The 15,157-nt window shown below is 44.3% G+C and overlaps 1 protein-coding gene across 7 annotated transcripts in view, besides 1 other annotated feature; it reads left to right on the top strand.

Moving 5' to 3' along the window:
• DIP2C (disco interacting protein 2 homolog C) overlaps window positions 1-15,157 on the top strand; it is a 415,468-nt gene that overhangs the window by 216,825 nt on the left and 183,486 nt on the right. For all 7 annotated transcript variants that reach the window (NM_014974.3, XM_005252427.5, XM_005252426.4 and 4 more), the window contains one exon: window positions 295-405. In NM_014974.3, the coding sequence (NP_055789.1) occupies window positions 295-405 (111 nt within the window). The remainder of the gene's footprint in view (window positions 1-294; window positions 406-15,157) is intronic.
• Window positions 1,921-2,436: an enhancer, noted in NCBI's record as "nonconserved acetylation island sequence 51". NCBI's record gives its function as "activates a minimal heat-shock promoter by reporter assays in Jurkat T cells {active_cell/tissue: Jurkat}" and the evidence as "EXISTENCE:reporter gene assay evidence [ECO:0000049][PMID:17135569]".

Genomic DNA, 15,157 nt, shown 5'->3' with positions numbered 1-15,157 from the left:
CCCAGGAATTCAGTTGCCACCTGTGGCTGAGTTTGTGTCTCTCCCTGCCTGTCAGTGGACCTTTGTGCTGTGAAAGGGACCGTGGCGGCGTCTAGCCAGGAGGGGTCTCCCTGGCGGTGGGAGAGCTTCCTCCTCAGTCCTGGCCCTCCTGTCTGTGGGCTCTGAGGCGCCGCCATGCCCAGTCCCGTGGGTAGCTCTGGCTTTGCTGTGGGGATGGAGGGCATGATTTGTTAGAGTCTGCTGACTCCGCTGAGTACAGTCACACCTCACTCTGCTGTTTTTATTGAAATCCAGGGGTGGACCAAGCTTTGCCGCAAGAACGCCGGGCTCCTGTCACTCCTTCCTCCGCCTCTCGCTACCACCGCCGACGGTCTTCAGGGTCACGAGATGAGCGCTATCGGTCAGGTAAGCACGGGGTGGGGTGATACAATACGTCCATCTGCCACCTGTGCCAGGACGGTGCCTGTGCCCAGCCACTGGGCGAGGCAGAAGTGCAGTGGGCGTGGACCTGCAGCACGCGAGGGGCCTCCAGCTTTCTGCACGGACACACCCTCTCGGGAGACGCCAGTGTCCGGTAAATAGCTCTTCACGTGGTTTACAAGCCCATGTTGGCTACTATTCAGAATTGCATATTAATTAAAAAGATTATAATCTCGTGCCAAATTTTTCTTTTTTAGGTGTCACTGTTAAATAACTTTTTAATCGTGGTTGCTAGTATAGTTTTTTCTTTTTCTTACCATCAGTGATTTGTTTTCTAGGTCTACTTTTCTAAACAGAAATGAAAACCATACATTGTTATGTGTTTCCTGTCTTTCATCTGTGTTTTATGATGCCGTCTGCACAGGGTTGTCTGGAGACTGAGTTGCCAGTGCCACCTGGGCTTGGCCAGCTGAAATTTCATTAATTTAGCAACAGAAAACTTAGGCTGTCGGGCGTGGTGGTGGGCACCTGTAGTCCTAGCTACTCATCAGGCTGAGGCAGGAGAAATGCTTGAACCTGGGAGGCGGAGGTTGCAGTGAGCCGAGATCACGCCACTGCACTCCAGCCTGGGCAACAGAGCAAAACTCCATCTCAAAAACAACAACAACAAAAACTCAGGCTGTGATTAATGTTTGAATTATTCTGAGAGAGTTTTTCCAACATGTAGGTTAAAGTTGCTTCTTTAAAAGAAAATTACCTGTGAATTCTTTTGTAGTTCCCAGGGCACCGGTGAGGGTAGGGGCGATCGCTGGTGATGGACCCGATTCGTGAATCCCTTTGTTTTGCAAATGCCCTTCACTGGCATCCTCACATTGTTCTCACATGGAGCTTTCATGATAAGCAGGTGAAGTCGTGACTGTTGTCTTCTGTGTCAGAAGAAAAAAGTGAGGCTAAGGGATGACGGAACTCACCTGGTGTTCGAGGAAAGCCTGTGAGTCTCGGAACTCACCTGGTGGTCGAGGAAGCCTGTGAGTGTCAGTCGTGCTGTAATGAATCTCTCTGTCCATGCAGGCTCATGTGATTAGCTGCTTCTGCATCCTCAGTTGCCGTCTGCCTGGCCTCCTGGCTCTGCTCCTCTTTCTGGAGAGGAGATTTTATGGCCTCAGAGAGTGTCACCCATGCAAAAGAGGACACACCTGAGAGCCTGAATGAAAAGCTGGTGCCACCTCCTGGGCGCCCCTGCTGCCTTCTCCAAGGAGGCTGTGACCCAGGAAAATGTGTGCGGATGGAATGAAGGAGAATTTGTTCCCAAATCCACCCTCTGTTGTTTCACACCTGTCTTAAGCCCCGACACATATTGAGACCTTCTCTTACTCATGTGGGTGTCTCGGAGGCCCCTGTCGAGTTCAGGAGTGTGGAGGCACCTGCGTACTGTCAGCCTGTGACCAACGCTTCCCTCACTGTGTGTCAGTGCTGCCATGCAGACACCCTGTCTGTGAACACACAACACACCCAGACATGCACGCAGGCTGAGTTCACATGGCTTCAGTTCTCACAGAGGCCAGTGGGGGTCTATCTTCCATTTTATAGATGAGGAAACTGAAGTTCAGGGAGGCTGTCCAATGGCTGACGATCACACGGGGTCGCTCCTCGCAGGAGGATGCAAGCCCATCTTTGGCCGGCCATCTTACCACACAGGAGATCCGCGTCAGTCGCCACTGCGTGTTTCCTACATTCTCTCTCTCTCCACGATGCTGCAGGGGTGTTGATAAACCCTGTGTTTACCTTCGGATCATGCCATCTTCACAATCCCAGCTACTCCACGAGATAAGCATGGCGGGTTGTGGTTGTCTCACGGTCTTCTCTCTTGATAAAAGCCTGAGAGAGGTGGGTGTAGTAGGAGATGGTTATCTCTTGGCTTGGGGTGCGTTTTCTGTTCATCCGTGCACCTTACCTCACCTCTTCAAAGGCAGGAAGGTGTGGAAGAGAGAGGCACATGGCAGAGGGGGTGGCTGAGAGTGGCAGGATGGGTGGAGGAGACCGACACTTCAGCTCAGAGTCTGCAGGCTCTGCTCTGGAGGGGAAGCTAGACCCAACGTGAGAAGCACGGTTCATTTCTCCTGTTTTTGTAAAATTGTGAAATATGGCGCCTCTTCACACACAATCTCTCCCGTTCCCCATCCTGACTCATGTCTCCATCGCCATTATAACCACATGATACTCTGTCTATCTGCATGTCTGTGTATTCGTTATTTACCTACCTGTCAATCATCCATCCATTTATCAACCTCTCTGCATCTGTCTACATATTCGCCAATCATCTACTTACCTATCAAGCATCCATTTACGTCCACCATCCGTCCATCTATCAAACATTTCATCCATTTACCCCACTACTCAGCCATTCTTCCACCATCCACCTCCCCACCTCTCACTTTCTTCCATAAGAATACGAGGTCCACACAGGCCAGGATCTCTGTTCTGTTCATTCGTGTAGGCCAAGCACCTGAAATACTGCCTGGCTTCTATATTTTGAAGGAAGATGAGGGAGTGTGACACATTTGGGGAACGGCAAGAAGTTAGGTAGGAGCGGCTGGGTTATAGCATCTTGTGCATCACGCTCGGGAATTTGGACTTGATCCTGAAGATGATGGGATCCACTAGAATATTTTAGGTGAAGGGACAGTGGGGGCCAGTCAGGGTTTGAAGATCACTTTAGCAGCAGCATGGAGCATGGGCTGAAAGTGGGGGAGTCCAAACAACCCTGAATGCCTGAAACTGATGTGTACTTAAGAGATATCTGTCAGGGCTGGGTGCTGTGGCTCATGCCTGTAGTCCCAGCACTTTGGGAGGCCGAGGCGGGCAGATCACTTGAGTTCAGGAGTTCAAGACCAGTGTGGCCAACATGGCGAAACCCCATCTCTATGAAAAATACAAAAATTAGCCAGGCATGGTGGTGCATGCCTGTAATCCCAGCTATTCCAGAGGCTGAGGTGGGAGAATCTCTTGAACCCGGGAGGTGGAGGTTGCCGTGACCTGAGATCATACCACTGCACTCCAGCCTCGGCGACAGAGTGAGACTGTGTCTCAAAAAAAAAAAAAAAAAAATCAGTACCAGTGAGATTTGAGAAATGCTCAAAAGATAATAGCAATAGGACCTGAAGGTTGGGTTAATATGGAGGAACATGAGAGGAAATCAGGGTGACCTTGATGTCCTAGTTATGCACCTGCACAGAGGATAGTCTCCGATTCTGCACCCAGAGTGACTCCGAGATGTCCAGCTTATGCACCTGCACAGATAATGGTCTCCAATTCTGCTCCCAGGGTGAATCCGAGATGTCCTAGTTATGCACCTGCACAGATGATGGTCTCCAATTCTGCACCCAGGGTGACACCAAGGTGTCAGCTCATGCACCTGCACAGATGATGGTCTCCAATTCCACAGCTCCTTCTCTTTAGGGAATCAAGCTTACTGTGTATAGGTTACAGGTGGTAGAATTTGCCTTACTGTGTAGAAGATACTATGAACGATTAGGAAGACAGTCCTTGAAGTGTCATTTATTTGAGATATAATGGAAAGCACTATTACTCCATGGATGCCGTTGTAGTTTTTAAAAGTTGGGTACTCATCTTTTTTTGTTTGTTTTTGAGATGGAGTTTCACTCTTGTTGCCCAGGCTGGAGTGCAATGGTGTGATCTCTGTGGTGTGACACAGGTCACGCCACAAACTCTGCCTCGTGGGTTCAAGCGATTCTCCTGCCTCGGCCTCTCAAGTAGCTGGGATTACAGGCATGCGCCACCATGCCTTGCTAATTTTGTATTTTTAGTAGAAACAGGGTTTCTCCATGTTGGTCAGGCTGGTCTAGAACTCCCGACCTCAAGTGATCCACCTGCCTTGGCCTCCCAACGTGCTGGGATTACAGGTGTGAGCCACTGCACCTGGTCTCATCTTTGTTTTAATCAATAATGACTGATTGGCATATGGAGCGCACCCCATGACCTTTGCATTGCCTGTGAAGTCTCAGGTGGGGTTCTCATTTTCTGTAGCCAACACAGAGCAACTCCCCTTTATGTGTCATGGCAGCCACCCTTCAGGAAAGCAGGAGGGGCATGGGGTCATTACTGGGTTTCCTTATTCTTTGCTGTTTCTTGCTGTTACAGGAATCTAGTTGTGAGTTCTCTAAATTTAGATATACTATAATTTACTTAGAGTATATGCTCACGTGGTTTTAACAATAAGGTGTGAGATAAGAGGAGCTTATGTTAGTTTATTACCAATAGACAGATTTCACAATTTTCTGTCTGCTTTTTTCTTTCTCCTGAACCGACCGCGAAGACTGGAATCATTCACAAGGAAAGGGCTGTGGCTTCTAGGGAGACTTGGCAGCTCGAGGTCTGTGACCACTCATCTTGCAGTAGAGCTACTGTGGTTGCCCCAGGGACTGAATTTTTTAATTTATATATATTTTTTATTATACTTTAAGTTCTGGAGTACATGTGCAGAACATGCAGGTTTGTTACATACGTATACATGTGCCATGGTGCTTTGCTGCACCCATCAACCCATCACCTACATTAGGTATTTCTCCTAATGCTATCCCTCCTGTAGTCCTCCAGCACCCAACAGGCCCTAGTGTGTGATGTTCCCCTCCCTGTGTCCATGTGTTCTCATTGTTCAACTCCCATTTATGAGTGAGAACAAGTGGTGTTTAGTTTTCTGTTCTGGTGTTAGTTGACTGAGAATGATGGCTTCCAGCTTCATCCATGTCCCTGCAAAGGACATGAATTTACCCGTTTTTTATGGCTGCATACTATTCCATGGTATATATATGCCACATTTTCTTTTTTTTTTTTTTTTACACTTAAATAATTTTTATTTTATTTATTTTTTTTTTATACTTTAAGTTTTAGGGTACATGTGCACATTGTGCAGGTTAGTTACATATGTATACATATGCCATGCTGGTGCGCTGCACCCACTAACTCGTCATCTAGCATTAGGTATATCTCCCAATGCTATCCCTCCCACCTCCCCCCACCCCACCACAGTCCCCAGAGTGTGATATTCCCCTTCCTGTGTCCATGTGATCTCATTGTTCAATTCCCACCTATGAGTGAGAATATGTGGTGTTTGGTTTTTCGTTTTTGCGATAGTTTACTGAGAATGATGGTGTCCAATTTCATCCATGTCCCTACAAAGGACATGAACTCATCATTTTATGGCTGCATAGTATTCCATGGTGTATATGTGCCACATTTTCTTAATCCAGTCTATCATTGTTGGACATTTGGGTTGGTTCTAAGTCTTTGCTATTGTGAGTAATGCCGCAATAAACATACGTGTGCATGTGTCTTTATAGCAGCATGATTTATAGTCATTTGGGTATATACCCAGTAATGGGATGGCTGGGTCAAATGGTATTTCTAGTTCTAGATCCCTGAGGAATCGCCACACTGACTTCCACAATGGTTGAACTAGTTGACAGTCCCACCAACAGTGTAAAAGTGTTCCTATTTCTCCACATCCTCTCCAGCACCTGTTGTTTCCTGACTTTTTAATGATTGCCATTCTAACTGGTGTGCGATGATATCTCATAGTGGTTTTGATTTGCATTTCTCTGACGGCCAGTGATGATGAGCATTTTTTCATGTGTTTTTTGGCTGCATAAATGTCTTTTGAGAAGTGTCTGTTCATGTCCTTTGCCCACTTTTTGATGGGGTTGTTTTTTTCTTGTAAATTTGTTTGAGTTCATTGTAGATTCTGGATATTAGCCCTTTGTCAGATGAGTAGGTTGTGAAAATTTTCTCCCATGTTATAGGTTGCTTGTTCACTCTGATGGTAGTTTCTTTTGCTGTGCAGAAGCTCTTTAGTTTAATCAGATCCCATTTGTCAATTTTGTCTTTTGTTGCCATTGCTTTTGGTGTTTTGGACATGAAGTCCTTGCCCACGCCTATGTCCTGAATGGTAATGCCTAGGTTTTCTTCTAGGGTTTTTATGGTTTTAGGTCTAACGTTTAAGTCTTTAATCCATCTTGAATTGATTTTTGTATAAGGTGTAAGGAAGGGATCCAGTTTCAGCTTTCTACATATGGCTAGCCAGTTTTCCCAGCACCATTTATTAAATAGGGAATCCTTTCCCCATTGCTTGTTTTTCTCAGGTTTGTCAAAGATCAGATAGTTGTAGGTATGTGGCATTATTTCTGCAGGCTCTGTTCTGTTCCATTGATCTATATCTCTGTTTTGGTACCAGTACCATGCTGTTTTGGTTACTGTAGCTTTGTAGTAAAGTTTGAAGTCAGGTAGTGTGATGCCTCCAGCTTTGTTCTTTTGGCTTAGGATTGACTTGGTGATGCGGGCTCTTTTTTGGTTCCATATGAACTTTAAAGTAGTTTTTTCCAATTCTGTGAAGAAAGTCATTGGTAGCTTGATGGGGATGTCATTGAATCTGTAAATCACCTTGGGCAGTATGGCCATTTTCACGATATTGATTCTTCCTACCCAAGAGCATGGAATGTTCTTCCATTTGTTTGTATCCTCTTTTATTTCCTTGAGCAGTGGTTTGTAGTTCTCCTTGAAGAGGTCCTTCACATCCCTTGTAAGTTGGATTCCTAGGTATTTTATTCTCTTTGAAGCAATTGTGAATGGGAGTTCACTCATGATTTGGCTCTCTGTTTGTCTGCTGTTGGTGTATAAGAATGCTTGTGATTTTTGTACATTGATTTTGTATCCTGAGACTTTGCTGAAGTTGCTTATCAGCTTAAGGAGATTTTGGGCTGAGACAATGGGGTTTTCTAGATAAACAATCATGTTGTCTGCAAACAGGGACAATTTGACTTCCTCTTTTCCTAATTGAATACCCTTTGTTTCCTTCTCCTGCCTGATTGCCCTGGCCAGAACTTCCAACACTATGTTGAATAGGAGTGGTGAGAGAGGGCATCCCTGTGTCGTGCCAGTTTTCAAAGGGAATGCTTCCAGTTTATGCCCATTCAGTATGATATTGGCTGTGGGTTTGTCATAGATAGCTCTTATTATTTTGAAATATGTCCCATCAATACCTAATTTATTGAGAGTTTTTAGCATGAAGGGTTGTTGAATTTTGTCAAAGGCTTTTTCTGCATCTATTGAGATAATCATGTGGTTTTTGTCTTTGGCTCTGTTTATATGCTGGATTACATTTATTGATTTGAGTATATTGAACCAGCCTTGCATCCCAGGGATGAAGCCCACTTGATCATGGTGGATAAGCTTTTTGATGTGCTGCTGGATTCGGTTTGCCAGTATTTTATTGAGGATTTTTGCATCAATGTTCATCAAGGATATTGGTCTAAAATTCTCTTTTTTGGTTGTGTCTCTGCCTGGCTTTGGTATCAGAATGATGCTGGCCTCATAAAATGAGTTAGGGAGGATTCCCTCTTTTTCTATTGATTGGAATAGTTTGAGAAGGAATGGTACCAGTTCCTCCTTGTACCTCTGGTAGAATTCGGCTGTGAATCCATCTGGTCCTGGACTCTTTTTGGTTGGTAAACTATTGATTATTGCCACAATTTCAGATCCTGTTATTGGTCTATTCAGAGATTCAACTTCTTCCTGGTTTAGTCTTGGGAGAGAGTATGTGTCGAGGAATGTATCCATTTCTTCTAGATTTTCTAGTTTAGCCACATTTTCTTTATCCAGTCTATCATTGATGGGCATTTGGGTTGGATCCGAGTTTTTGCTATTGTGAACAGTGCTGCAATAAACATACGTTTGTATGTGTCTTTATAGTATCATGATTTATAATCCTTTGGGTGTATACCCAGTAATGGGATTGCTTGATCAAATGGTATTTCTGGTTCTAGATCCTTGAGGAATCACCACACTCTTCCACAATGGTTGAACTAATTTACACTTCCCTCAGTGGTGTTTCTTCACATCCTCTCCAGCATCTGTTGTTGCCTGACTTTTTAATGATAACCATTCTAACTGGCGTGGAATGGTATCTCATTGTGGTTTTGATTTGCATTTTTCTAATGACCAGTGATGATGAGCTTTTTTTTTTTTCTAAGTTTGTTGGCCACATAAATGTCTTCTTTTGAGAAGTGTCTGTTCATAACCTTTGTCCACTTCTTGATGGGGTTGTTTTTTCTTGTAAATTTGTTTAAGTTCTTTGTAGATGCTGGATATTAGCCCTTTGTCAGATGGATGGATTGCAAAAATTTTCTCCCATTCTGTAGGTTGCCTGTTCACTCTGATGGTAGTTTATTTTGCTGTGCAGAAGCACTTTAGTTTAATTAGATGCCATTTGTCAATTTTGGCTTTTGTTGCTATTGCTTTTGGTGTTTTAGTATTGAAGTCTTTGGCCATGTCTATGTACTGAATGGTTTTGCCTAGGTTTTCTTGTAGAGTTTTTATGGTTTTACGTCTTACGTTTAAGTTTTTAAACCAATTTGAGTTAATTTTTGTATAAGGTGTACAGAAGGGGTCCAGTTTCAGTTTTCTGCTTATGGCTAGCCTGTTTCCCCAACACCATTTATTAAATAGGGAATAATTTCCCCATTGCTTGCTTTTTGTCAGGTTTGTCAAAGATCAGATGGTTGTAGATGTGTGGTGTTCTTTTCTGAGGCCTCTGTTCTGTTCCCTTGGTCTATATCTCTATTTTGGTACCAGTACCATGCTGTTTTGGTTACTGTAGCCTTGTCTATAGTTTGAAGTCAGGTAGTGTGATGCCTCCAGCTTTGTTCTTTTTGCTTAGGATTGTCTTGGCTATGTGGGCTCTGTTTTTTGGTTCCATATGAAATTTAAAGTAGTTTTTTCCAATTCTGTGAAGAAAGTCAATGGTAGCTCGATGGGGATAGCATTGAATTTATAAATTACTTTGGGCAATATGGCCATTTTCATGATATTCTTCCTATCCATGAGCATGGAATGATTTTCCATTTGTTTGTGTCTTCTCTTCTTTCCTTGAGCAGTGGTTTATAGTTCTCCTTGAAGAGGTCCTTCACATCCCTTGTAAGTTGTATTCCTAGGTATTTTATTCTCTTTGTAGCAATTGTGAATGGGAGTTCATGATTTGGCCCCCTGTTGGTCTATTATTGGGGTATAAGAATGCTTGTGATTTTTGCACATTGATTTTGTATCCTGAGACTTTGCTGAAGTTGCTTATCAGCTTAAGGAGATTTTGGGCTGAGATGATGGGGTTTTCTAAATAACAATCATGTCATCTGTAAACAGAAACAATTTGACTTTCTCTCTTCCTATTTGAATACCCTTTCTTTCTTTCTCTTGCCTGATTGTGGCTAGAACTTCCAATACTATGTTGAGAGAGGGCATCCTTGTCTTGTGCCAGTTTTCAAAGTAATGCTTCCAGTTTTTGCCCATTCAGTATGATATTGGCTGTTGGTTTGTCATAAATAGCTCTTATTATTTTGAGATGTGTTCCATCAATATCTAGTTTATTGAGAGTTTTTAGCATGAAGGGATGCTGAATTTTATCAAAGGCCTTTTCTGCATCTATTGGGATAATCATGTGGTTTTTGTCATTAGTTCTGTTGATGTGATGGATTACATTTATTGATTTGCATATATTGAACCAGCCTTGCATCCCAGGGATGAAGCCTATTTGATCATGGTGGATCGGCTTTCTGCTGGATTCAGTTTGCCAGCATTTTATTGAGGATTTTCACATTGATGTTCATCAGGGATATCGGCCTGACATTTTCTTTTTTTGTTGTGTGTCTGCCAGGTTTTGGTATCAGGATGATGGTGGCCTCATAAAATGAGTTAGGGAGGAGCCCCTCTTTTCTATTGTTTTGGAATAGTTTCAGAAGGAATGCTACCAGCTCCTCTTTGTACCTCTGGTAAGAGTTGGCTGTGAATTCGTCTGGTCCTGGACTTTTTTTGGTTGGTAGGCTATTAATTCCTGCCTCAATTTCAGAACTTGTTATTGGTCTATTCAGGGATTCAGCTTCTACCTGGTTTAGTCTTGAGAGGGTGTATGTGTCCTGGAATTTATCCATTTCTTCTAGATTTTCTAGTTTATTTGCATAGAGATGTTTACAGTATTCTCTGGTAGTTTGTATTTCTGTGGGATCAGTGGTGATATCCCCTTTATCATTTCTTATTGTGTCTATTTGATTCTTCTCTCTTTTCTTCTTTGTCTGGCTAGTGGTCTATCTATTTTGTTGATCTTTTCCAAAAACCAGCTCCTGGATTCATTGATTTTTTTGAAGAGTTTTTCGTGTCTCTGTCTCCTTCATTTCTGCTCTGATCTTAGTTATTTCTTGTCTTCTGCTAGCTTTTGAATTTGTTTGCTCTTTCTTCTCTAGTTCTTTTAATTATGATGTTAGGGTATCGATTTTAGATCTTTCCTGCTTTTTCTTGTGGGCATTTAGTGCTATAAATTTCCCTCTACACACCTCTTTATCTGTGTCCCAGAGATTCTGGTACATTGTCTTTTGTTCTCATTGGTTTCAAAGAACTTATTTATTTCTGCCTTAATTTCATTATTTACCCAGTAGTCATTCAGGAGCAGGTTGTTCAGTTTCCATGTATTTGTGCAGTTTTGAGTGAGTTTCTTAACTGTGAGTTCTAATTTGATTGCACTGTAGTCTGAGAGACTGTTTGTTATGATTTCCATCCTTTTGCATTTGTTGAGTGTTTTACTTCCAATTATGTGGTCAGTTTTAGAATAGGTGCAATTTGGTGCTGAGAAGAAGGTATATCCTATTGATTTGGGGTGGAGAGTTTTGTAGATGTCTATTAGGTCCGCTTGGCCCAGAGCTGAGTTCAAGTCCTGAATATCCTTGTTAATTTTCTGTCTCAATCTGTCTAATACTGACGTTGGGGTGTTAAAGCCTCCCACTGTTACTGTGTGGGAGTCTAAGTCTCTTGGTAGGTATCTAAGAACTTGCTTTATGAATCTGGGTGCTCCTGTATTGGGTATGTATATATTTAGGATAGTTGGCCCTTCTTGTTGTATTGATCCCTTTGCCATTGTGTAATGCCCTTCTTTGTCTTTTTTGATCTTTGTTGGTTTAAAGTATGTTTTATCAGAGACCAGGATTGCAACTCATGCTTTTTTTGCTTTGTAAATATTCCTCCATCCTTTATTTTGAGCCTATGTGTGTCTTTGCACATGAGATAGGTCTCCTGAATACAGCACACCAACGGGTCTTGACTCTATCCAGTTTGCCAGTCTGTGTCTTTTAATGGGGGCATTTAGCCCATTTACATTTAAGGTTAATATTGTTATGTGTGAATTCGATCCTGTCATTATGATGCTAGCTGGTTATTTTGCCCATTAGTTGATGCAGTTTCTTCACAGTGTCAGTGGTCTTTACAATTTGTTATGTTTTTGCAGTGGCTGGTACCAGTTTTTCGTCTCCATATTTAGTGCTTCCTTCAGGAGCTCTTGTAAGGCAGACCTGGTGGTGACAGAATCTCTCAGCATCTGCTTGTCTGTAAATGATTATATTTCTCCTTCACTTACAAAGCTTAGTTTGGCTGGATAGGAAATTCTGGGTTGAAAATTCTTTAAGAATGTTGAATATTGGCCCCCACTCTCTTCTGGCATGTCGGGTTTCTGCAGAGAGATCCGCTGTTAGTCTGATGAGCTTCCCTTTGTGGGTAACCCTACCTTTCTCTCTGGCTGCCCTTAACATTTTTTCCTTCATTTTAATCTTGGTGAATCTGACAATTATGTGTCTTGGGGTTGCTTTTCTCAAGGAGTATCTTCGTGATATTCTCTGTATTTCTCAATTTGAATGTGGGCCTGTCTTGGTTGGTTGGGGAAGTTCTCCTGGATAATATCCTGAAGAGTGTTTTCCAACTTGTTCCATTCTCCCCATCAATGACTGAATTTTAGCAGCCCAGAAATAATTTTGTTATTGCTTACATAATTGACCTAGTTAATAATTAATCTACTCAGCCATTTAACCTCTACTGGATGTATTTTCTCATTTCATTTCTAAACCCATGACCTTACTTTGTAATGAATTCTTATGAAAGCTCTTCATCATAGTACATATCTTCTCTTTATAAATAGCTTTCTTTTGGAACTTGAGCTTGATTTGGGAAGTAAGTGAATGAGCTGGCATTTATTGAGCACCTAGAATGTATTGGAGTCGATTTTAAGCACTTCATTACCTTTACTTGATAAACTCTCAGTTAGAGCTTAGATTCTAGCTTTAGTTATCACCTTTTTTTCCCCAACCAACAACTCTGGAAAAGAAAACCTGGAGACTTGTGTTGTGCCCATTCCACCCAAGACTGGGAGAGGAAGATCCTAGAGCTCATGTGCAGCATGCCGTTCCCTGATGTGACTGTGAGAGGAAGATCCTAGAGCCCACGTGCAGCACGCGATCCCTTGATGTGACTGTGGGAGGAAGATACTAGAGCTCATGTGCAGCACGCGGTTCCCTGATGTGGCTGTGGGAAGATACTAGAGCTCACGTGCAGCAGGTGGTTCCCTGATGTGACTGTGGGAAGGTCCTAGAGCTCACGTGCAGCAGGTGGTTGGTTCCCTGATGTGACTGGGAAGGTCCTAGAGCTCACGTGCAGCAGGTGGTTCCCTGATGTGACTGTGAGAGGAAGATCCTAGAGCCTACGTGCAGCACGCAGTTCCCTGATGTGGCTGTGGGAAGGTCCTAGAGCTCACGTGCAGCAGGTGGTTCCCTGATGTGACTGGGAGGAAGATCCCAGAGCCCACGTGCAGCACGCCGTTCCCTGATGTGATTGTGGGAAGATCCTAGAGCCCACGTGCAGCACGCCGTTCCCTGATGTGACTGGGAGGAAGACCCTAGAGCCCAGATGAAGGACACTGTTCCCTGATGTGGCTGTGGAAGATCCTAGAGCCCACGTGCAGCATGTGGTTCCCTGATGTGACTGAGAGGAAGATACTAGAACCCATGTGCAGCAGGCCATTCTGTGATGTGGGTGGAGCTACTGCTGTGTCTTTTGATGAACTAAGAACTTCCATGTGTGAGCATGCATGGCTTGGGCTGCCCTCTCAGGGATCAGCATCTGACTTCAGCCTTGCCCCTCCTTTGCAGTAGAATGTCCCGGTCCCGTGTCCTCTGGGACAGCAAGCTTCCAACAGAGCCCAGGGACCCTCAGGGGTTCGAGACCCTCCCAGGGATGTCTGCAGTGTTGTGCTTTCCAGAATGACACGGCCATGTCTCCTGTTGACTCTTTGTCTCCTGAGTGCACAGTGGGTTTTTCCAAGGCTGGCTGTCTGTTTGGGGGTGGGGGAGGGTTCTGAGAGCCAGTGGATTCTGTGACTGTGACATCTTGTTTTTTAAAAAGTTTTGATTTACTTTCTAATGCCACAAATATCAAAATATTAGCCCCACTGGCAAAAGCTTTTTAAGGTTTTCAACAGTCTTTAAAGTGCTCTTTGGGTCAAAGAGTTTGAGAACTATTGTTAGATTTTTAAAGCTTTTTTTTTTTTTTTTTTGAAAAAGTTGAGAGGTAAACTGGAAACTTGTGCTTCTGAACCCATCCTTGAGGCGGATTTTATGCTGAGGATAGTTTAGTGTCAGTTTTGGAAATAGACTTGTGTTCTAGTATTCTTTCAGCAAATGTGCAGGTGATTCTGGGTTCCGAGCACTCTGCTGTGCCCTGCCGGTGAGTCAGGAATGTAGAGGGCATCCTCCTTGCCGTCACGGGGTGCCGAGCACTCTGCCATGTGCTGCCGGTGAGGCAGGAATGTAGAGGATATCCTCCTTGCTGTCATGGGTTCCGAGCACTCTGCCATGCGCTGCTGGTGAGGCAGGAATGTAGAGGACATCCTCCTTGCTGTCACGGGGTTCCGAGCACTCTGCTGTGTGCTGCCAGTGAGGCAGGAATGTAGAGGACATCCTCCTTGCCGTCACGGGTTCTGAGCACTCCGTCACACGCTGCCGGTGACGCAGGAATGTAGAGGGCATCCTTGCCGTCACAGGTTCCAAGCACTCTGTCACGCGCTGCCGGTGAGGCAGGAATGTAGAGGGCATCCTCCTTGCTGTCACGGGGTCATCTGCCATCATGGGGGTCACCGTATAAGTTCCTCCTCTATGCCGAAGTTTAATTTTCTAGACTGAGAAGGTTTATCTTTCCTGAGTCAGTCTGGATTTACTGATTTTGATGAGGTTCCTGTCCTGTGACCTGTGTTCTCTCTGAACAACTCAATTTTCTCATTGATTCCAATACACATAGTGTTACTTCCTTATTTACATCAGAATGATGCTAGGAGAGAAGGCGGCCTACAGTGCGGCCAAGTAGGACTGTGTAGCCACTGTGATGTCCCCAGAGGAGGTGACAGGCTCTGTCTGGTGGGAGCTGCCCTGTCCAGTATGAGGGCAGTAGCCTTGTGGGGCCTTTTACATTTAAATGTGTTAAGATGATATATAAAATCATCCTCCTGCTTCATCACTGCACTTTCGGGCGGGTGGCTGGGCGGCTCTCATGCTGGATGGTGTGGGTGGGACTGTTGCCAGACCTGCAGACAGTCCCCATCACGTGCTGCTCTGGGGCCGCAGCTGTGGGAGGAGAGGCCACAGGCACAGCTGAGGACGCAGCATAAAGATGTCCCACACTACAGAAAGTGACTTTTGGCCAGGTGCAGTGGCTCACGCCTGTAATGCCAGCACTTTGGGAGGCCGAGGTGGAGGAGAGCTTGAAGACAGGAGTTCGAGACCAGCCTGGGTGACAAAGTCAGAGCCCATCTCTACAAACGATGAAAGACTAGCCGGGTGTGGTGGCCACACACCTGTGGTCCCAG

Source organism: Homo sapiens, chromosome 10 (genome assembly GCF_000001405.40).
Source record: "Homo sapiens chromosome 10, GRCh38.p14 Primary Assembly".
NCBI lineage: Eukaryota > Metazoa > Chordata > Mammalia > Primates > Hominidae > Homo > Homo sapiens.
The sequence above is the reverse complement of the archived record's forward strand: the minus strand, read 5'-3'. Positions and strand labels throughout refer to the sequence as shown.